Source organism: Homo sapiens, chromosome 8, assembly GCF_000001405.40.
Source record: "Homo sapiens chromosome 8, GRCh38.p14 Primary Assembly".
Classification (NCBI taxonomy): Eukaryota; Metazoa; Chordata; class Mammalia; order Primates; family Hominidae; genus Homo; species Homo sapiens.
In genome coordinates this window covers 19,729,070-19,752,311 of record NC_000008.11, presented here as the reverse complement: position 1 = coordinate 19,752,311, position 23,242 = coordinate 19,729,070, and the positions used below count along the sequence as shown (strand labels likewise).

At 39.5% G+C, this 23,242-nt stretch overlaps 1 protein-coding gene across 34 annotated transcripts in view, besides 1 other annotated feature; it reads left to right on the top strand.

Annotated features, from left to right (window-relative positions):
* CSGALNACT1 (chondroitin sulfate N-acetylgalactosaminyltransferase 1) overlaps positions 1 to 23,242 on the top strand; it is a 353,748-nt gene that overhangs the window by 5,597 nt on the left and 324,909 nt on the right. For 5 of the 34 annotated variants that reach the window (XM_047421961.1, XM_047421969.1, XM_047421976.1 and 2 more), the window contains exon 2: positions 19,746 to 19,856. The exons of 27 other annotated variants lie outside the window; for them this stretch is intronic. The gene's annotated coding sequence lies outside the window, so the exon portion shown is untranslated. Of the gene's footprint in view, positions 1 to 678; positions 19,857 to 23,242 lie in introns of those variants that run through there. 2 more of the 34 variants (XM_047421970.1, XM_047421974.1) reach the window with 1 other exon arrangement.
* Positions 19,591 to 20,790: an enhancer, noted in NCBI's record as "BRD4-independent group 4 enhancer chr8:19589033-19590232 (GRCh37/hg19 assembly coordinates)". NCBI's record gives its function as "activates an origin of replication core promoter dependent on BRD2, P300/CBP, MED14 and CDK7 cofactors, and independent of BRD4, by STARR-seq in HCT116 cells {active_cell/tissue: HCT116}" and the evidence as "EXISTENCE:reporter gene assay evidence [ECO:0000049][PMID:35650434]".

Here is a 23,242-nt window from a genome sequence, read left to right as displayed (position 1 = left end):
CCTGCATAAGTTTGTGTGACGCTCTTGTCTGTAAAAGTGGTTAGAACAGTGTCTGGAGCATAGGAAAGGTTATATATGTGTGTGTATATATTTTATATATCATATAAGATATATAGTATATATTATATAAGATATGAATATATACTCATATATGATATGTCATATAATATCATATAATATATAACATTTTATATTATATATAATATAATAATGTATATCATTTATCATCATCATCATATCATATAAAAATATATTGTTATATATTATATAACATTGTATATTTTATCTACTATAGACAATTTTTAAAAATGTTATGTAATATAAATATATAAATATACACATGTATTAGTCTGTTCTCACAATGATGTAAAGAACTACCTGAGACTGGGTAATTTATGAAGAAAAGAGGTTCAGTTGACTCACAGTTCCAAAGGTTGCACAGGGGGCATGGCTGGGGAGGCCTCAGGAAACTTACAATCATGGCAGAAAGTGAAGGAGAGGCAAGCACATCTTCACATGGCAACAGGAGAGAGAGAGCCAAGGGGGAAGTGCTACACACTTGCAAACAACCAGATCTCATGAGAACTCTATCACGAGAACAGCAAGGGGGAAGTCTGCCGCTATGATTCAGTCACCTCCCACAAGGCCCCTCCTTCCATATGTGGGGATTATAATTTGACATGAGATTTCGGTGGGGGCATAGAACCCAACCATATCAATATATAACTGTTGGTTGTTATTAATATTATCATTATTGACTGCATTGCTTTCAGAGTAGATCATTCTAGTAGTCGCAATAATCTGGAACAGAGGATTCAGGTAAACTTAGCGCTTATAATAATGTTTGCAAAGGTAAGTAATTCATTTAAGGTTTCTTGTTTCGCTTCTGTCACAATTCTCTTCCCATGATAAAAACGGTTAACACTGATGGAGCCCTTAAATATGTAGCAGGTACTCTGCTTAGTGTGGTATGTGAGTTCTTCATTTAATCAGCACAGCCACCTTAGGAACTGTGCACTCTTATCATCTGCGTTTTACGGATGAGAACGCTAAGATTTAGGAAGCAAGTCAAGGTCAGCTAGTAAGTGGTGTAGCTGGGCCTTAGTGCACGTCTGCCTGGCTCCAGGACCTGAGCTCATGACTTCTTTGCTGTCTTTTCCAGCATAAATACTCATTGAATTGGCAGCCTGGAAAAGGTCTTTGAGTTCTGACATGCAAACATTGATTTTCCTTACAGTATTGTATTTGTCTCCATTTCTGGGCATGATGGAGCAAGATAACAAAATAATTTTTATCAGAGGGTCTGCTTCAGCACTTTTAATGTATAGGTTTGTGTATGTAGCTTTTTCTAGCAGCTCAAAAATGCAATGTAGAGCAACATCTCTGTTTAACATCTAACTTCCGATCAAGGTGTTTGGCAGGCATGTTACAAGCAGAAAGTATGAATAAGATCGAGTGTGTGGGTTGCAGAATATTAAGGTATTAAGGCTGGAGTCAGCCATTCATGCATTCATCTATCAAACATTTTTATGCACCTGTTCTATGAAGGTACTCTGCCAGACACTGCAGGGAATACCAAGATGTGAAGACAGTGCAGGAGAGAGGAAGGGTTTGAGACTTTGGTGGTGGACAACCTGGGGTTTGAATCCCAGCTCTACTCCTTACTGACTAGGGGGACCTTGTTCCATTACTAAACATCTCTGAGGCTTAGCTTCCTCATGTGCAAAATGGGGATAATAACATCTTATAGGCTTGTTGCAAGAATTAAACGAAAGGTATAGGTAAGGTTCCGAGCCACCAGGAAGTAGTAGGTACCAACCAATAGCAGTGTCCGTTTTCTTCTTCTCATCTGTCTCCTCTCAACCTCTCCCTTCCCTTCCCTCTTCCCCGCTGCCCCCTACTGACAGAGTGGTGGTAGAGATAAAAGTATCTAAAATCCAAGGCCGAGTGTGATCAGTTCCTTTAGAATGTCGTTTTCTGGTTCTTCCACCAGAGGCTGGGACAAACCTGACAGCAGTGTAGGGTCCCTGTGACCCTTTGTTGTTACCTAAGCTGGCCAAAGAGGATGGCCAGGAGGCAAATGGCAGCTTGGAGCCCAAGAGAGGTACCTATGGTGTAGAATAAGGTTTGGGTACAAGGGGTAAGGGAGAAGCTATTTTAAGAAGAAGTCAAGAACTCAGGTCTCATGGAAGTTGGAACAAGTCAGAAATGAAGTTGGAGGTCAGCTGAACAGAAGCGGTTGGGGATCCAGGATGCAGGGGGATATAAGTGACCATTTCTTGAGGGGTCCAAGGCTGGGTCAGAGGCTCAGCTGTGCTGCACCAGCTGGATGGCTTCTGCTAAAAAGCTCAGAGGAGAGCTGCAGCCTGGTGCATCTCCAGATTGGTGCATTGCCTCTTATGGACTTCTGGCTCCCTGGCCTCCCACTGCAGGATTTTTCCAAAAGCAGTACATCCCCTGTCAGTGAGTAGCTAAGTCAAAATTATTAGTTGTCTGGCAATAACTACTGGAGCTCTTTAAGGGGTAGCTATTGTCACAGGAGAAATGAGCCTCTCCCTGACCCCCTCTGAGCTGGGGATTTGGTTAATTACATCCAGGTCTGTTTCACTATGATGCAGAGAGCCAGATCCATGGAGGCCTGTATAGGGCCCTGCTTGCAGTTCTGTAGACTAGCCTGTGTTGTTAGATCAGGGATGGTCTTTAGAGAGATGTTCCAAGTGGTTTTATGATACTGAGCCGCCTTGTTTGGTGACCAGGGTAGATGTGTGTGGTAGGGAGGGAAAGTGGATTTTACAAAATCATTACAGTTCAGAAACGTCTACCTCAGCCAGGAGCAGGAAGCCTTAACTCGTTATTTATTATGCCATGGCACATAGGCATAAACCAGCCCTTCTGTGAATAAGCAAACAGAACCTGCCCAGGTGCAAGAGAAGCTTGATTCAGGCTTTTTTTTTTAAAGCCAAAAATTTAAAAACAGTATCGAATTGGAGAAGAGTTTGTTTCAAGCAAGTTACTGTAATTTTCAAAAGCCCATTTTGTGGAACTAATACAGTGTATTAAAATGAATTGAACAAGCAAACTTAAAAAAAAAAAACACAGAAGGACAGCTTAGTGGGAAGAGGAATAGTCCTTGAAATGAAACCCAAGTTAGTTCAAATGGTTCTTGGGAATATTAGTATCATGAGTACATGCAAAGCACACAAATAAGTGAAAAAATCTCGGAATGAATGAACTGGATAAGGAAACAGCACCCCTGGTGAATGGGCCTGGGAGACGGAGTCATGCACAACGACCTCACTTTTTAACTCTGTGAACTTGGGCAAGTTCCTTAATGTTTTTTTTTTTTTGAGATGGAGTCTCACTCTGTCACCCAGGTTGGAGTGTGGTGGTGCGATCTCGGCTCACTGCAACCTCTGCCTCCCGGGTTCAAGCGATCCTCCTGCCTCAGTCTCCCAAGTAGCTGGGATTACAGGCACTCGCCACCACACCCGGCTAATTTTTGTATTTTTAGCAGAGTAGAGGATTCACCATGTTGGCCAGGTTGGTCTTGAACTCCTGACCTGAGGTGATCCACCCTCCTTGATCTCCCAAAGTGCTGGGTTTACAGATGTGAGCCACTGCGCTCAGCCTACTTAATTCTTTAGATTCCTGTTTCTCATCCATAAAATGGAATAATCATGCTTATTTTACTGAGGGGTTTGCTGAGTCATTGAGCTAATGTACGTAAATGCTACAGCACATGGTAAATCCTTAATATATGTGTCAACTGTTATGGCAGAGAGGGACGGGAAAGAAACATGGAAAAGAAAACGAGTGTCAAGGAGCATTGGGAAGATGAGGAGGAGCATGCTATATTTGCTTTAGGCCTTATATCTCCTATTTCTATTCTTAGTTTTTTAAATGTGTAAGTTCTAGATTATTATAATCAAATATATCTTGAATACCTACTGTGTACCTGTCGCTATGATAAGGTGCTTGGGTTTGGAAACTAATCCCAGAAATCCCTTGATATCTTTGAAGTTCTAGACTGACAGGAATGACTAGAACTTGCTGTTAAAGGATGAATTCCTAATGTCCCCTGGCTACTTTAATTAGTTACCGGAAAGGTAATAGTTTTTCTTTTATTATTTACCATCTGCTCTTTATACAAGAGGATAGGAAAGAAATACATCTTCTTGGACCTCCATACGTATAAGTAACTTAAAATTTCCAGGTTACCTTTGAGCAACTTATATGCATAGAAGTAAGATTTTTTTTGAGTACGTTTATGGCTACATAATGGGTGAACAAGGGAGGAGACTTGTATTTTGCAGGGATATTTCTTTGGATATACCTATGACCTCCAAGTTGTCTAAAGCATACTTTTTGGCAGGGAGATTTCTTTCATCTTTTAACTAAACTTATGGCCCATTTATTTCTGGGCCTGAATAACAGGAATAACAGGAGAAAGCTGAGTTTGAGTCTTTATCTTTCTTTTTTTCTTTTCTTTTTTTTTTTACTTCTCCTCCAGTTGGAGGTGTAGACAAGTTTCTACAGTAGGAAACTAGCTTGGTGGAGACAGAGCTCTGTAGCTGACTCACTCTGTAGCCCTGGGCAAGTTCTTAATCCATAAAGTAGGAATTTAATCAAATGCAAAGCAATGAAATTTGTGGACTGTGAATTGATTCATCAGTCCAGAGGGTGGCTGAAGCCGAAATCTGAGCAGAAAATAGTCACTTTGTTGGATCGAGTAAGCTGGTTCAACATTTTGGGTCTGGGGTGCTCTCAAAAATAGCTTTCCTTAGTAGAGAACATATTATTCACTTAAGTAACTAAAAATCCTGAGGGTTTTCCCCATTAATATATCTGGGTATAAAAAGGAATTTATCCAGCTTCACTGGACTTAGCTTTTTGCATTCTTCCAAGAATGAGTCTGCACCAGTGCTTGGGGCATTATTAGTGTGGATAACAGAGGCCTCAGGGAACGCCTCCTTAGACCCTGTATGTAGAACCAGTATCTTCACGTTTGGTGTTCTAATGGAAAATGAAGTTGGAAATACCGGCTTTTTTTTTTGCTTTCTCTCCTACTCAAGACATTGACCTCTTGAACCAACTGCAGGAATTATTTGCTGGCTAAGTACCAGGACTGCATTTTTCCCCTGTCGTCTCAAGATGATGAATTTTACTGGTGCACAGAGGGTAACCAGTGACTTTTTGCACTTTTCACCAAGGTGGGATGGGATGTGAATGTGGGACCCTTGTAAAATTGTCTGGTTGCTTGAAAGCATGAGGAGGGGCTTCTTTGGCTTGTGGAGCTGGCCACCCACTAAAGTGAAGGCATGTGGGAGGCATTGGCTCTTTAAACCCCTTTCCCTGGTGTCCACAAGCGATGGTTGTGTTATTCTTGGGGCAGATGACATGCCAGTGTGTGAAACCACCAAGTATCGCCCTTGCTCTCCATCGTGTAGGAAAGAAGGTCAGAGAATGAATGGCAAAGCTTTGAATAAAGCTGATCGTGTTTGTTTATTTAATGTACATGAGCTAGAAATCTTTGAAATGGCAAAATCATGCATTTGAAAGAGATACTTCATTTCTGGAGGACTTGTAGGCTTCATTTAATAATCTTGTCAATAACATGTTGGAGTTGGAATTAATGAGAGAACCAATGATTAGCAAAAATATATCAACAGAAATAATAGCATCTCTGAGATCATTTGATCTAACAACAGTATTTTGCAGAAATAATAGCAGGTTTGAGATGACCTGTACTATCTGTCTAATCTGAAGATGAGCAACAGAGGCTCAGAGAGGCTAAGTGACTTATCTAAGATGACCCAGCTACTTAGTGGAATGAATGATGTTGTTGAGAATAGAACCCAGGTTCCTTATTTTCATCAATCTGCACGTGATGGGCTCTGCAACATCATTAGGTACCATGGCCAATAGGCAGATAGTTTTAGGTGCCCCTTATAATAATGAACTACCAAGATGCCTACTCTCAGGTTGTTCAGAATCTAGTTTTGGACTTCTACTGTATGCCTGGCATTGTGCTTGATGCTGGAGTTACATAGATGAACAGACAGTGGATTCTGACCCCAGGAGCTCACAGGAGACTGAAATACAAGGAAAGGAATATATTACTACGCTAGGGCTTACTGACCCATGGAGCATCTGAAACTGGTCCAATTTTCCCATAGAACTGATGTTTATTGCTTCTTTTGAATAAACATAGAAAACTTAAGAAACTTCCATTTGTGTTATCTGAGTTCCTTTCTCAGAAAACCAACCCTCAGGTCTCCCAGATATTATCAAGGAGCTGAAACTTAACCAGATCACCAAGTCTGAGCAAACCCCAGACCATTCATCCATCGTAATTGCCTAAGTGACCACCTGCTTCCTGTTGGCCAACTCCCCTTCCTTACCCCTCCCTAATTCCTGTTTTCCGATGTGTACTTATATTCCTTCCCTGCTATATAAACCCCTAATTTTAGTGGGTCAGGGAGATGCCGTGTGATTAAAACCTTCTTCCCTTGCAATACGCGTTTTCTCTGAGATCGACTTTCTGTGCTGTGAGCAGCAGGACCTGGACATGACCCCCTGGCATTTCAGTCACAGATATTCCCTGGGGATGGTGAGCCCTCACTGCGTACTTCAAGGCAGAGGGATGTATTTTTATTTCCTGTTTATTTTACAACATCAGAAATGGAAATGGTGGCAAAAAGCTTCATGAATCAAATGGACTCTAAATGACCTTAGCTTCATCTGTGCACATCCAGCTAGTGAATTAAAGTTTGAAATCCTTTTTTCTCTGTACTTCAAATCTATGATCTTCCTGGAAACACTTGGTAAGATTAGTTCTGAGGAGTTTCTTTAGGGGCACAAGTGAAAAATTGGATTGTATGCCTTGATTTGATAATTTACACATTGTGAGCATGTATCAAAAACCAAATGTACCCCATAAGTATGTACAATTATTATGTATCAAAAGTGGGATTGTATGTACCCAAAGAGAGATAAGATGTGGATATGGGTATCATTGTATCTAAGTCAAGGGGTGAATAGTTGGTTTTTCAGTTAAATTAAGGCTCGTTTTTCTTCTGGTAATCTGGAAATGGCAGCAGATTAGGAAGTTTTACTATGTGCTAAACCCTATTTGAAGTATTTTATTTGTAGAATTTATTTTTTCAACACATACAAAAATACTTGAAGAACTGAGATTCACATCGATGGAATACTTCGGGTCAGACGACTATGACAGGCTGAACCAGCATTGGAACAAATGTCTGTCTGTCTCTAAAGCTTTTACTCCCAAGATTGCTATGGTACCTTTATGGGTACCAAGAGTAATACGTTACGTGGCAGTGGATGTTTTAGCTGTGTTTACATTGTATTTGGACCAAATTATAGACTCCTGGAGTATAGGGACCATAGTTTACACAATTTTATAATGTCTTCCCAAAAGTGTGGCAAGTATAGTACAGTGTGTAGACACAGAAGGTTCTTGATAAAGGTGTATGGAAAGAGTAAATGTAGCAATTTAATAGTCAACATGGTGAGTAAAAACTGTGTTCGTGAATAGACAAATCACATTCAAGGATCCCCATATTTGAGTGTAAATCTGACCTTGGAGAAACCAAACAGAAAACTCACCTTTAGAAATCTCTTTTATTATAATTTTCAGTTTATAAGCATGCCTGTTTTCAACTATATTCCTACATACTATGTGTTTTCTTAAAAGTTACCTATAAATAAATTATATATTCATACTCTTGTGGCAGGCTGGCTGGATTTAATAGGGGCAGGAAGGCTTCCAACATGTTACGTGTTCTTGAAGGTAATAAAAAGGAGGACTAATTACCTAGCTGAAACGATTATAAGGGACGTGTTGGACATCTGGACTCTCTGGGATTCTGACATCAGCAAAAGTGGTTAAGAAAATATGGTTTTTGAGAAACAGCAAAGACCATCTATTTGAACCAAGTTGTTTTATTCAATCTATGACGTGGGTGTATCTGTGGTCCGCTGAGCATGAGGACAGGACTAAATAATGCATTGAGCTTCTGTGGTTGAAGTGGCAATTTTAAAGAACGTGGCTGGTGTTCACAGTTGGAGTCTGTGAGGTCTTACTTTTAATGATTATACCTTTCCCGTAGCCATCTGTCTTTCTTTTTAATAAGCAATACTCCTTATCGAGCCTGATTTGTGCACATTGATTGCACCATTATACTTGTTAAATATTAAAGAGTTTTTTTTCTCGTGTGAAGTCTAATTAGGCAAAGTATTCAGGGCAAGCCTGGCATTACCATTCAGAATAATAGTCTGGTCATAACATACCTCAGCTTTCTGGATCATTTGTCTTTTTTTTTCCTTTCTTATTAGAGTGCCAGTGTAGCAAATATATTGCATAAAAATTTGATGAAGGATTCAGTGCTATTGGGCCATTAAGAGAAATTATGCTACAAAGATTATGAAACCTCTAAAAAATGTGTGGAGAAATTTATCATCTATAGTTTGCATTTTTTATGAATCAGACTTCTGAAAAGATATATAGAATAGTTACTTGATGGCATTAATTTTATTCAATGGAGCCATCTTAAAGTTGCTTTAAATCATAAAAATATAAATTACAATGATGTTGGGAAGAAGAAAATAGCAATCAATAAGTAGTTACATTTTATACATGCTGATGATGAAAAGAGTATTTTTAGATATCAAACCACCATCACTGAAAGTCCATGTGGTGAACCCTTACTTACTTTCTCAACTTATCTGTTCTGTGCAGTCTAATTCAAAAGTATATTCGCATCGCTGATTTAGCTGCAAGTATTTTGTCTGTATAGGGCCAAAAGTAAGATTATGACTCACTCTAGTATCTTTGATAAGTTATCTGATATCATTTTGAGATGATCATCATAATGAATATGGTCCTTTCTTGAGATGTTCATAGTACTTTCTCATTTGTGCACACACACTCAGGCATACACATACACATGTAATCTGGGCTGACTGTCATGAACCACATTAGGAATAGGACCAGTTTATTGCTGCGTACTCTCAGGAATAAAAGCTTCCACTCCATACGTTTCATGTAATGTATGGTTATCGGACTAATAGATTTTTCCCTCTCAGTGGTTCCAGCAGCTCATGTTGGGGTTTTGAAAGTGGCTTTATCCCTTCACAATTGCAAATAGCAACAGTGTTCCTTTCCATTTATGCATTATGGAAATCAGCGTGTGTGTATCTCCCTAAAGTGAGAGTTTATTGTGAGTTGTTTTTGAATGTGGTCAAATCAAAATGAGATCTGGCTCTGAATGAAAACAGGGAAATAAAGATCAAACAAGGGAAGGGAATGTATAGATCATCTAGTCCAGTGTTTCTGCACCACAGAAGGAGAAGCCAAAGCTCAGAGAGGCAAAGAGGCTTCTCAGAGTTCACGTGGTTGCCAGTGGCAGAAGTGGAACAGGAGCTAGGCTCATTCCCTGTGCATTTTCTACAGTACAGTGGAGGCCCCTGATAGACGATGACATTTGGACCATTTCCCAGTTTCCAGACCCTTCACAGATATAATGTATTTTGGCCTGTAGGTTAGAAAGATGTTGAAGGAAGGATAGTTGCCTACGGCCTGCTGAAGACAGGGTTGGGATCATCTGCATCTGTCTAGGGTGATATTTTTTCATTGGCATATTGTTAGAAGCTGAAATCTCAATGATGAAAATTCCCAGGGCAGCCTTTGAGAATTTCAGGGTTCAGTAGCTAGTCAGAGAGGGCAGCAAACAGCTGTCGTGGGGGATGCATTGGCTGCAGCTGGGCCAGACCAGGTCTCAGCGGAGGAGTTGGGTGTTCTGTTTCAGAGGCCTGGCATCTTGCATATTCAGCCTGCAAGGGCAGTGATCAGGTCTTAAGTAAATCACCTAGCCAAGAGAGGCCCCACGGTTGAAAAGGACCCAAGAGATAAACAGGTTAATTTACCTTTGTAGGTAACTGTCACGGCAACTTGAATATTCAGTTTATACGGCACTGTGGTTTGGCACATTGGGTCTGAAGTCTAAGATGTCTGGGTTAGACCAGCTGCCATTTACTAGCTGTGGAATTTTGGCAAGTTACTTTACCACTTTGAGCCTCAGTTGTTTTGTCTATAAAATGGGAATGATAGCAAACATTTATATTGTGCTCACTGTGTGCCAAGCGCTGTCTCAGTTGTTTTGTCTGTAAAATGGGCATTATAACATTTATATTTTGCCTAGTGTATGCCAGTTGCTTTAGGAGAAAACCCTGTGAGGCAGGCACTACCATTATCCTCTCTTTATAGTGAGGAAACTGAGGCCCAAAGGGGCTTAATGTCTTGCTCAAGGTTACGCAGCTGTTCAGGGTTGAGCAGGGATTTGAATCTTGGCAGTCTGTTGCTTTTTATCACTTTCCTATGCGGCCTGTTGATAGGATTAAGATTATTGTGAGGATCGAATGGGATAAGCACACCAGAAATATTAGCTCTCATCATTATTAATTATAATAAAGCTAGCATTACCTTAATAACAAGAATAAAATCCATATGATCAGCCGTTTCTTTTCCTGTAGACAAGTTCCTTAAGTAAGAAGCCAGATCATAATTAGAAAGTTGCTTTGGCAATTACTGAAGTAATGTGAAAAGAATTCAGAAGCCTTTATTAAATGTCCCTATAGTTCATGGAGCCTTGGTCTAGCCGAGTAGACTGCCAGCAGGATCAGCTCCCCGACTCTTTTGGCTAAGACTCCCTTTTTTTTTTTTTTTTTTTGATGGAGTCTCACTCTTTCGCCCAGGCTGGAATTCAGTGGTGCAATCTCGGCTCACTGCAACCTCCGCTTCCCGGCTTCAAGCGATTCTTCTGACTCAGCCTCCAGAGTAGCTGGAATTACAGGTGTGTGCCACCACGCCCGGCTAATTTTTGTATTTTTAGTAGAGACGGGATTTCACCATCTTGGCTGGGCTGGTCTCAAACTCCTGACCTCGTGATCCATCCGCCTCAGCCTGCCAAAGTGCTGGAATTACAGGCGTAAGCCACTGTGCCCGGCTAAGACTCCCTTTTCACCTCTGAGGGCTTGCAGACTTTTCCTACTATAGGGAGCTCTGGAGTACCAGTGACCAACTCTGTGATGGTTTTCTCTGATCTATCCATGCAGATGATTAAAGTAGATTAGATAGGTTATGGGCATTGTCTGTGCCACTGGACTGCCACTGTAGAATTGTCTAAGAACAACACCCCAGTCTTGGAGGAAATCCTTCAACCTACGCACAAAAGTCAGTTTTTGACTTGCTTCCTCCATTTTGTTGAGTTCATGACCTCATTCTCAGAGTGTGATCTTATTTCCAAGTTGCTTTGCTATGGAGTTTAGATATTATCTTGTGTCTCTTCTTTTGCTTAGTTTTAAATTTATAAATTGTGAATACATATGTGGGTATGTAACATGTGCATCCATTTTAACTTATGATAATAAAGCAAATAACTATCCATAAGCATCTAGAACATTCCTTTGAAACCCTTCACATGTGCTTCCTGGTCATATTTCCTTCCTACCTCCCACTCCCTCACCCCAGGGGTAACTGCTTTTTCAAATATTGTTAACTATTTCCTTCCTTTTCTTTCAAGCTTTACCAGAAATGTGCATCCACAAATAATTTGTTTTTGTTCCAGTTCAACAGGCTGTTGAATGGGAAAATTTGACTAACCCTTCAAGATATATTATATAACAGTTACTAAAATAAGTTGCAAGAAAGACCCCAGTGGAATTTTTCAAATGAAATATCCAAACACCAGGCTCAAGCTCTTGAAAATCCTCCTCACTCTGAAGATACAGTAAAACACTGGTACTGGATGTGTGAGGGGATTTATTTGAAGAAGCCTCTGCTGTGCGCCCGTCACTGTCCTTTCATCCTGGAGGAAGGGTTGTGGGGGTGCTGCCCCCACCCCAAGCCTAGAGAGAGCAGCTGCTTTGAGGCTGCCTGGACAGCAGACTCTGTGTCCCTTGGGACTTGGAGTGTGGCAGGCTGTCATGTGACTCGGGTGAGACACTTTGGTGGCAGAGTGAAGGGGAGCAGCTGGGATAGGGCCTCCCCGCTGCCAAGCGTGTTGGAGAGATTTGTGTGTGCTTCCTGTGGACCAGATGTGGCCCAGGTGGGATGGAGAGCCAGGCTGGAACAATTTGGCCTCTGCCCAGGAGGCACAGGCAGCGGAGAGCTTGTGGAGTGAATTTTAGGGGCTGCAGGGGTAGGGTTGGGGGCAGTACAAACAGAAGACTTAAATGCATCATCCACATCACAGGGATTTTGGTTAAAGGGGCCCAGCAGGGAGCCCCTGGAAAACCTACAAAAGTACCCATAAGAAAGAGAGAACATTGGTTTGAGTATCTGCTGGTCTACAGGATGTGAAGCCATTTGCACTAGTGAGGATTAAGTTTCCCTGCATATAAATGAAAGAACAACGGTAACACAAAATAGGAGTTTACTTCTTTCTTACATAGAATAAGTCAAGAAGTAGGCAATTTGGGAATGGGGTGGTGGTTCCACACAGTTATTAGGAACAAGTCTTCTACTTCACTGCTCCCACATCCTAGGAATAGATTCCTCGTGCTCATGGCGCAAGAGAGCTGCTAAAGCTCCAGCCATCACATCACGTTCCAGGCATAGAAGGAAAGGAAGGGCAGAGGAACGGTCTGCCCCCTCCTATTTAAGGAGACTTTTGGGATGCCCCACCTAACATTTTTGCTTATTAGCCAGGGTTCACTTGTGTGGTCATGCCTAGCTCTAAGAGAAGCCAGGAAATATAAACTTATTGCTGTGATTCTTTTTGTGAAGAGGAAGGGGATATAGTGAGGCAGCCAGCATTTTCATGGCAGTGGCAGTCATGTGGTCTTTCTTCATCATGTGTTTCAAACCCAGAGAGAAGAGTAACAGCAGCTAAAAGGTGGGTAGAAAAGAGAGAAGAAGCCTACAGGCTACCTGTACAGATCCTAGCTGGGGATGCAGCAGGAAGTCTTACTGTTTGTTTGATCTTCTTTAGAGTCAATGTCATACATTGACTTGAACGTTCTATTTTCTGAATCACAATTATTTTTTGTGACTTAAAAGTAACTTTAGGACTTTCTGTTACCTACAAGTGGCCAGAAAATTACAGGGCCTACTAGATTTTTCCTTGAGTAGCACGATAGAAGCATACCCCCTAAATATCATATATATTTCAACTTGATAAGGTCTTTATTGTACATAACCACCATGCTGTTTTCATACCTAAAAATTATCATTCTTTAAAAATTACTGAATACCCAGACCATGTTTAAATTGTCCTTATCTCAAAAAGTATCTCTTTTTGTTTGATTAATGTTGTATAGGAGGGCCTCACATTGCATTTGATTGTTTAGTCTCTGAAGTCTCTTGTAATTGAAAGTCCTCTTCCTCATATTGTCATTTACTTGTTTTGTGTCTTCTATATTTTCTATCAACGTTACTTATATCTAGAGGTTTAATTAAATGGAGGTTCATTTTTTTCAGACAAAAATAATTCATAGTTTATATGAATAATTATTTTTGCTCCTATCGCTGCACAGTGTCTTATGGTTCTGCTTTTAGTGATGCTTGGCCAGCCCTTAACTTTAAAACTTCCTTATGTTTTTATTTTGTGTATTTGTGTCTTAAAATTTTTTTATCATGGTAAAATATACATAGTATAAAATTCATTATTTTTACCATTTTTAGGTGAACATTTCAGTGGCATTAAGTGCATTCATGTTGTTATGTAACCATCACGAATGTTCATCTCCTGAACTTTTTTCATGTCTCCAAACTGAAACTCATACCTATTTAACTATAATTCCTCATTCCTTCATCCTCCAGCCCCTGACAACCACCATTCTACCTTCTGTCTGTATAAATTTGACCAATTTAAGAACTTCATATACATGGAATCATATAGTGATTTGTCCTTTTGTGAATGGTTTATTTCACTTACTGTAATGTCTTCAAGGTTCATCCATGTTGTAGCATGCGTCAGAATTTTCTTTCTTTTTAAAGCAGAATAATATTCCACTCTATGTCTTGCTTTCTTATTTCCCCATTAGGAAAAATATGTTTTTCTTTATGGAGATGAGATCCTGCTCTGTCACTCAGGAGTACAGTAGTGTGATCATAGCTCACTGCAGCCTCGAATTCTTGGGCTCAAGTGATCCTCTTGCTTCAGCCTCTCGAGTAGCTGAGAATTACAGGTGCAAACCATGGCGCCTGGCTACTTCATTTTTTATTGTTGCAAAATACACATAACAAAATTTATCATCTTAACCATTTTTAAGTGTACAGTTCATTGGTAATAAATACATTCATGTTATGCAACTATCACCACTGCCCATCTCCAGAACTCTTTTAATATTGTCAAACTGAAACTCTGTATCCATTAAACAATTAACTGTGTGTTTATCCATCTCCTAGCCCCTGGCATTCTACTTTCTGTCTTTATGATTTTGACCACTCTAAGTACCTCATATAAGTAGAATCATAATATTTTGTGTATCCTTTTATTTTGAAGTGAAAATAGCATTTAGCTAGATTTAGAACTATCTATGTGATGATCTCAGTCTTTAAGTTAGAGCCTTAGTACATTTACATTTATTGTGATTACTGCTACTTATGTGCCTTATTTATTCTACTTCTTTTATGTTTCATTTTCTCTCCTTCTTTTCCTTCCTTTGAATTGAGTGCTTTTTTTTTCTTTTTCCAATTTTTTTCTTCTACTGGTTTGGAAGTTACACATTCTATTGTTTTTCCAGTTGTTCTCTTAGAAATTTTTCCGTATGTGTGTAACTTAACAAAGTCTACAATTAACCACTAATCAATATATTTATGTTTCTTTTTCCTAAAAGAAAGTATTAGAAAACTGTGATCCCCACCTGTTTAGTATTTTTGCCTTATCTATCTTGTAAATTGACAAATTAGATATTATTGCTATTGTACTAAATGGTGAGCATTCATTTGGGTTTAACCCCATTTATGTATTTTTTTTTCCCAGTCACAGTTTCTTCTTGCCTCCTAGACTCTTTCTGGGAGATATATACTTCCCGAAATACATTATTTAGAAGTTCTTTTAGTAAGGGCCTGTTGGAAGTAAACTCTCCTAGTTTTATTTATCTGACAGTAACTTCATTTTATTCTAAGCTTTCAAAGATAGTTTCATTAGGTGTAAAATTCTAGGTTGGAAGTTATTAACTTTCAGTACTTAAAATATAGTATTTAACTGGCTTTTGAGAAGTCAGTTTTAAATTGAATTGATATTTATAGAAACATGCCTTTTTTATCTGGCTGCTTTAAATATCTTTGTTTTTCCTATCTCTACTCTCTCCTTTCTGCTTTTATTTTTAATGTGGTGAGTGAGGATTTTTTTTTTATCCTGTTCAGAGTTTTGTGAGATTCCTGAACTCAAGGATAATTGTCTTTCATCAATCTTGGAAAATTCTCAGCCATTATTTCTTTGAAAATAACCTCTTTCCCCAATGTTTCTGGTGTTTCCTTCTGGAACTCTAGTGAGATGTGCTGTAGAGTTCCTCTCTGTTCCTTAAATCTAGTTCATATTTCTATCTTTTTTCTCCCTCTGTGCTGTTCGCTGGGTAATTTTTTCAGCTCTATTTTCTGTTTTACAAATTCTCTTTTTAACCATGTCCAATACAACATGTAGACCATCTATTCGGTTTCTAATGTCAACGTACAGACATACTGTGCGTAAGAACTGTTCAGTTAATGGCTTTTTGAAAAGTAATGCCACTCTTTGGATGATTCCTGGTTTTATTTTTTTTTTTTTTGGTTTTGGGACCTAATGACTTTCTCAGTCCCAAGCACATGAGATAAAACCCTATAGGAAGTGATATTTAGACATTAGAAATTCAGGAAAAGACATAGTCAGCAGTGTGTGAGAGACTATCCTATAGAAACTTTTTCTGTAAAGGGCTGGATAATAAATAAATATTTTAGGCTATTGTGGGCCATTCAGTGTAAGTTACAACTACTCAAGTCTGTCGTCATAGGAAAAAAGCAGCCATAGACTACAAGTAAATGAATGATATTCTAATAAAACTTTATTTATAAAAACAAGCGGGCTATAGTTTTCTGACCCCTGCTAAGGAAATTTGAATTCTGCTTTGTGTTGGGATGAATTAAAACATTTGCTGTGCACACATTGCAAACAAAAGACAAGAAGAGATGGCTGTTGTACATCTCTTTAGTTTGTTGTGATCGCACTATTTCCGTAAGTTTTGAAGCATTTTTTTGCCTTAAATGTGTTTTCCTGTGTTGCAATATTATTTTTACATGCAGATTGAATGTGAAATACCCATAAACTTACCAAATGTTGAAAATTGATAAAACACATTGATAAAATTGATTGTATAAAAAGAAGAAAAAAGCCTTTATGTACTTTGTATTTTTTCTATGCTATATATTTGTTCACTTTTGAATTGTTTTTAGGATTTGAATTTGTTTTTAATGTTCAATTGACATATTATTCTACCTGTCAAGGTTGTCTGGATGTCTTCCATGGAGATAGAATGTATTATAATTTTTCTCCATTGAAGTTATTGGAACTATTTTTATATTTAACAATTTTTCATGTAAAGTTGTTAAATAAGGGTCAGATCTTCTGTCTTTCAATACATAAAATTTTATTTTTTTAAGTCTATCTGATAGTTCTTCATAGTCTCTTTGTCTTTTGCCATACACTTAAAGATAAAACATTTTTATAGTTTTTCTTTGATAGTTCCAATATCTGCAATTTTTGTGCATGTAATTTTGCAGCATGGTTTTTTTTCTGTTACTTGCTCATGACAGCTTTCCCTCCTGAGAATTTTGTGGTATTTTGATTTGAGCTTATGGTCATTGGAATGTTATCTGTGGGAATGTTAATGTGAGAATTTTTTGAGGCCTATATTTAAAGTGTATTTGTTCAGAGAGGACTTATATTTATTTCTTGGAGGCATCTGGGAGTACTGTCATTCCAAGGTGTTTCAAAATGAAATCTTTGATATGGAAATTTTGGGGCCCCAGAGTGCCAATTTCAGCCTATACCTGTGTGAAGGAGGCCTTATATATATTAGGCATTCTCAGGGCACCTCTTTTTCATTTTTCACCCAGAGCCAATGCTGAGATGGGCAAGCATCTCCACTTGCTTTCTTGAATCATATTTTTCTAATTTACCTCCTAAGGCTGCTGCATTTTGGGGGTTCTCAGTTCTGTGCATGGGATCTCTTCTGGCACTCTGGCCCCAGCATATGCCCTAGACATTGCCCCTTGTCCCTTCTAAGTGGCTCACTACCATTGATTTCCTGGATAGCAAGATCAAACCTGATCTTTCTTATCTGTTTGGATCCATGCTTTCCTGTTATTTCAGGGCTCTGACAGTTTTCCTTATTTACCCATCATCTCAACCGTGCATTCAGATATACATTTATAATGTATATGTATATTTATAATATACATACACACATATATACATATACACATATATGTATATATTATGTGCGTGTTTTGACATTCAGTAACTTTATGTATTTTGTACAGGTTTTCTTCAGCTATCCGGTCTGCCATATTACTGGCAATGGAAGTCTGTGTTTTCTTCTTCCTCAGATTTTTCTGTGACCTCTCAGACATTCAGCCAAGAGTCAACACTAATAGAAGAAGAGAAGAGTACTTCAGAATTCTTCTCTTTCTTGTGTTAAAAGAAAAACTTCAGACAAGTTAAATTTAGTGGAGTTTATTTGTGCAAAGAATAATTCATGAACCAGGCAGCACCTTGAAGTAGTAGAGGTTCAGAGAGCTCAGCCCAGCAATGTGCGCAGGCAATATATATGGACAGAGAAAGGAAGTATAGGCACAGCTTGATTAGTCATGGCTGGGCATTTGTCTTATTTGGGTGCAATATCATGAGGCATTTACCTTATGATCTGATTCATTGGCAGCCTGTGATTGGCTGAAGCTTGGCTGCTGTGATTGGCTGAGACTCAGCTTTTTGTTACAAGAATATTCTCTTAAGTTATGTGGCAGTTTGCTGTGTAAGGATTCAAAGTATTGAAGCAGATTTAGGCCAACTTCATCCAGTTTAACACTTGGTACAAGGTGTAGATTTCAGGTTGTGTACAGGAGGCTGATACTTTGAAATTTTTTATCTCTGATTCACATACCTTGATTCTGAGATGGAAGTGATATGGGGAGTGGCCATTCAGGTTCTGTTATAATTCCCAGAGCCTGGCACTAGCCTGGTCCCTCTCCATCCCTTGATTGAGGAGCCTCAGCGTTCATTGTTGGGGGGTGAACAGATAGCCCTGGCTCCCTGGTGTGCCATGAAGCAGCTGGGTACACTTCTTAGAGTGCATTCTGGCCTCCTCTATGGTTTGGGCTTGCACTCCTGGGCTTGGTCATGAATTCTAAGCTGGAGATAAGCTGTTCCTTCCTTTTCAGTATTCAGGGATGGCAGCAGAGGTTCCCTTCTGGCTACTTTCATGTACAATACGGAAAAAAAAAGGGCCTTAATGACAACAAATAAAACTCATATGAGCAGAAGCAAAATGTAGAATTCTCACCTTAGCTAGTCTGCCTTGGGAAAGGTCAGTGCACATGTAGACGTCTTTCAGGCAAAGAGAAAAGCATGCATAATTTAGCACGGGCATTCTTTTAGCAGCAGAAGGACATAGACCACTCGGCACACAGAGTGCATTGTGCATTGCCTTTGTTACCCTCTGATTAAAATTCTGTCTTAGCAGTTGTGGAGGAGGTGAGCGATAATCCATATTGGCGTAAAACTTCATATGTCACACAGCTGCTGGCTCCTAACTCAGAAAGTTTGAGACAATGGTGTTGATTTGGTAGTTATCCTGCATAGGGAATTGATTTATTCTTACTAATAGAAAATATAGGTTTTTGAAGTAGGCAATAATGGAATCTCTTTTATGCTTAAATAGAATTCCACATTAATAATTGGTGGAGTGTGGGCCTTGGCTGTGATCTTGCAATGTGAACATACCACAAGGAGCAAGTTCCAAATTGACAAGAGTGCTTTATAAAATGTGAACTTGGAATATAGGGATGGGATTTTATTCTTATTTAACTCATATTTCTGAGATACCTTCCATATAAAGCACTGCTATGTAAAACAAAAGAAACAGAAAACAATATTTTGTTACATTGATACTGATTGTTCTTTTCACTTCTGTCCAGAAGTTCTACTCTTTATCAAATTATTTATTAATCCTCAGAAATCCTCTTTCAGCACTGTACCATTTCTAATATAACAGGGTAAAGGGATGAGTTAGTAGTATAATCCTTTGAAATTATAAGTACTCCATTTTTCACCATTTATATTTTATTCCCTTTGTATTGCAAAATAAATTTGAGACATTGACATGTTCTACTTTTAAAAAGAACAAATCAAGAACAACATATCCATTATCATCAAAGTTACAAAATAGATAAATTAGAAAATTATTTGCATTCTAAAAAACCACAACAACAATTAAACTGCCCTTTGTAGGATGCAGCAATGCAAAGTAATACAGAGGGTGATTCATATGGCAAGGGAATGGATTTTGAAATGACGTAATTTATAAAGATCCATATATGTAACTTTTCTGCAACTTGATCTATTGCCTAAAGTGTCTGTGGATACTTCTCACTTCTCTGTATGTTGTTTTAACTCATAAACCTTGATGCTGTTTTCCTGTTTATTTTTTTAACACATACTCATCGAGCCACTACCATGTGCCAGGTGCTGTGCTGGTGATATGGGGTGAAAGTCCCATGAAGACACATATATGGCTGCTTTTTATTCTATTTTCAGGATCAGGGAAGACAATATCAAGTGAAAGGTCAACTATCGGTGAGTCAGAATTTCATGTTCTTGTTTTCAAGAGATGGTCCTTGAACACAGCGACTGATCCTGGTGCATATTTTATGGCAGCTGATAAATAAAGTTAACCACAGTAGACATTGATTGATTTTAATTGGATGTATTTTATTGTAGAAATACTGTTAAGAAGCTCTTTAACTTCTGCATGTCAGGAAATTAAAAATAGTGTTTTTGAGGACAGATTTTTCTTGTTAGTTAATGTTCATCAAAGACAGCAGGAGAAACACAACCGTTATGCTAGTTTATTTGATAACGTGCCGTTTTAAGCACACTAATTTCTAGAAAAAAGGGAGAACTGATTACAGCCAGATTGATTCACATTGCAACTTTAGCTTACGTTACCTAATTCTCTTAACTTGGAGGATTTAGAATTGATTGTAAGAAAGCATTTGGCCAATGACACATTTTTAGAAATGGTCTTGTTTTCTGCGTGCTATCAACTCATTATGCAGATCAAAGCTCTAATGCCATACATAATTGAAATGCCAAAGATAGAGTTGCAGCACGGCCTGACAGCTTGGTTATTATTTGACTCAATATTTTAATTTATGTTCTAAATTATTAACCATGGCAACAGTTTAAAAGAGTTCTCAATATACAATTATAGAGGATGCTGGCAAGTAAGTATCTGCTGTTTCTTGATCAAGAATTAGAGCCTGAGATGGAATTATTTTCTATTGTGGTAAAATATACATAGTGCAACTATTTTAAAGTGTACAGTTTGGTGGCATTAAGTACCTTCAAGTGGTTGTGCAACCATCTTCTATCCACAGATCTCTTTCAGGAGCTTATTTTTATTGCGGTTGTTTGGAGGTGTTGTGTTCAAGATGGAGATGCATTAGGGGAAAGTGGCATCAGTTTCTCAGGTGTTAGTTTGTAAGATGATGTGTCAGTAAACAGCCATATTTATTTATTTATTTGAGATGGAGTCTCGCTCTCGTCCAGGCTAGAATGCAGTGGTGTAATCTCGGCTCACTGCACCCTCCACCTCCCGGGTTCCAGGGAGTCTCGTGCCTTAGCCTCCCAAGAAGCTGGGATTACAGGCATGGGCCACCACGCCTGCCTAATTTTTGTATTTTTGGTAGAGACACAGTTTTATTATGTTGGCCAGGCTGGCCTCGAACTCCTGACCTTAGGTGATCCGCCTGCCTCAGTCTGCCAAAGTGCTGGGATTACAGGCATGAGCCACTGCGGCTGGCCAAGGAGCTTATTTTTATTGCTGGTTGTTTGGAGGTGCTGTGTTTGAGTGAGCCTAATGGAGTTGCATTATGAAAAAGTGGCGTCACAAGTTTCTCAGGTTTTAGGTTGTAAGATGATATGTCAGGAAACAGCCATCTTTAGCAGCTGTTTAGGCTCATGATTCCTTTTCTTTCACAGAGCCTCACACCCCCTAATTCCAGTGGGGATCCCTGTCCTGGTTAATTCTCCATTCTCTGACGCTTCAAGGAGTTCCCCACCTCTCCTCCCAGGGTGTTTGCCAGCTGTCCTCGTGGCATGAAGAATGCAGGAGGACGCATTCTGTTCTGCCCAAGCTTGGGGCAGGGAGAGCTGGTTTCAGCTCTGGCCAGTGGCCATTGGAGTCTGGTTTGCAAGATGATTAGAGTGATGGAACACAAGAGAGCTATTTCAGTGTTACTGACAAATACCAGGGACTTATTAAAGGACATTCTACTCTAAGAACACAGTCAGAGGGATGATCAGGGGCCATTTCGCTCCTATCCAGGAGCCAGGCAACTCCGTCACTGGATGGACCTGGGAGGGGTGGCTGTCACCTGGGAGGTGGGCATCACCCCTGTAGCTCTGCACACAACGACAGACAGCAGGCAGCTGAGAATGATGGCCTAGTTATTCCTTCCGGTGGGTTCACCTTACATACTTTTTTGCTTATCCTTAAGTACATTTTTCTTTATTGGAAAAAGTCCATTCAGAATAGCAGGCCACTTAAACATCATAATTCCAACCTCAGCATGGACATAATACCAGTTTAACAATACAGAACATTTTTAGTCACCTAGCATAAGCAATTTCTTTATTAGCAGCTTGACTAGGAGTCCTGCAGTGTGCAAATTCTGTTAGTGGCCGCATTTTCAAATCCCACCGCAGCCAGCCAGGGAGCTACGTGTCCTATTCCCCGAGTGTTGTTCTATCTTGGTCTTCATGATCTCTTGGTTGGTTCTGAGCATTCTGATTTAGGAACGGGGACATTGAGTGTAAAGAAGGGAGTGTGATGGCTTTTAATGTGATTTTGACTTTGCATTTCTCAAGGAATGAGCTTTCTGCTTTTCTGTAACTCAGGCAGATGAGAGTCGTGATTATAGATTGGGGATCTTGAAACATTGCATGGGCGCTATCAGTAAGATTGTAAAGGTCTCTAGTCTGGTGGGCTCCACTGTCACCCTTTGTCTGAGATCGCTCCCTCTGAACATGGAATGGCAGGTGACATCAGCACCCTACTTCTGCTGGTGAGCTGATTTCTCTTGCTGAGAGCTGAAGGTGCTGGGGAAATGAAAAATGATGCTTTCTCACAAAAAGGTGACAGTTCCCCAGTAAAGGAGGATGGGAACTTCTTCATGGGACCCCGTTCAGCTCTTCCTTCTAACTGCTGTGGAGCCCAGGAATCCTCCAGGCTCAAGGTCATATGGGACCACCCTTCTCTGTGTGGTCAAAGCAGAGGATAAATGAGGGGGAAGGGCATTCTTGTGGCATTCGTAGCATGTTCTCCATGTCTTCTGTGGCAGATTATTTCTGGGCCAGGAAGTGCAGGAGAAAAACAATGTTAGATCAAAATGAAATGAATTAAAGCCTTTCAATTGGCCTTGGTGAGGTCCTAGGCTCTCTAAGTTAAAAGGAACCTGTATCTACTCTAACTAGCCCTCTGATCCTTGAAACCTCTCTACAGCATCCCAGGTTGTCCGGTCTGTGTTTGAATACTCCTGGGACAGCAAACTCACTACTTCACAAGGCAGACCATTCTGCATCTGTATGGCTCAATCTGGAAGTGTTTTACAGCTTCCACCCATTGGTCTTAAATTCTACCCTTAGAGGAATGAGGAACCATGCATAGGAATGGTTGCTAGTTTGCATGTGAGCACTGTCTGCAAATATACACGCAATCACTTAACAAGTAAGCAAGCAAACAAACAAATGAATAAGCAAGTATTAGAGTGAGCTGAGAGTCCTTCTTAACTCCATTATTTAATTCCTTTGGTTTAATGTGCTCAGAGACTTCTGAGTGTATGTATTAATTTTCAAAAGACATGACTTTCTTTCCTTACAACAATGGTGCATTTCAGTCTTCACTTAGTTGTATCTAGTAGGTCACATTTAACTGGTTTATATTGTTAAGGACTTATCCA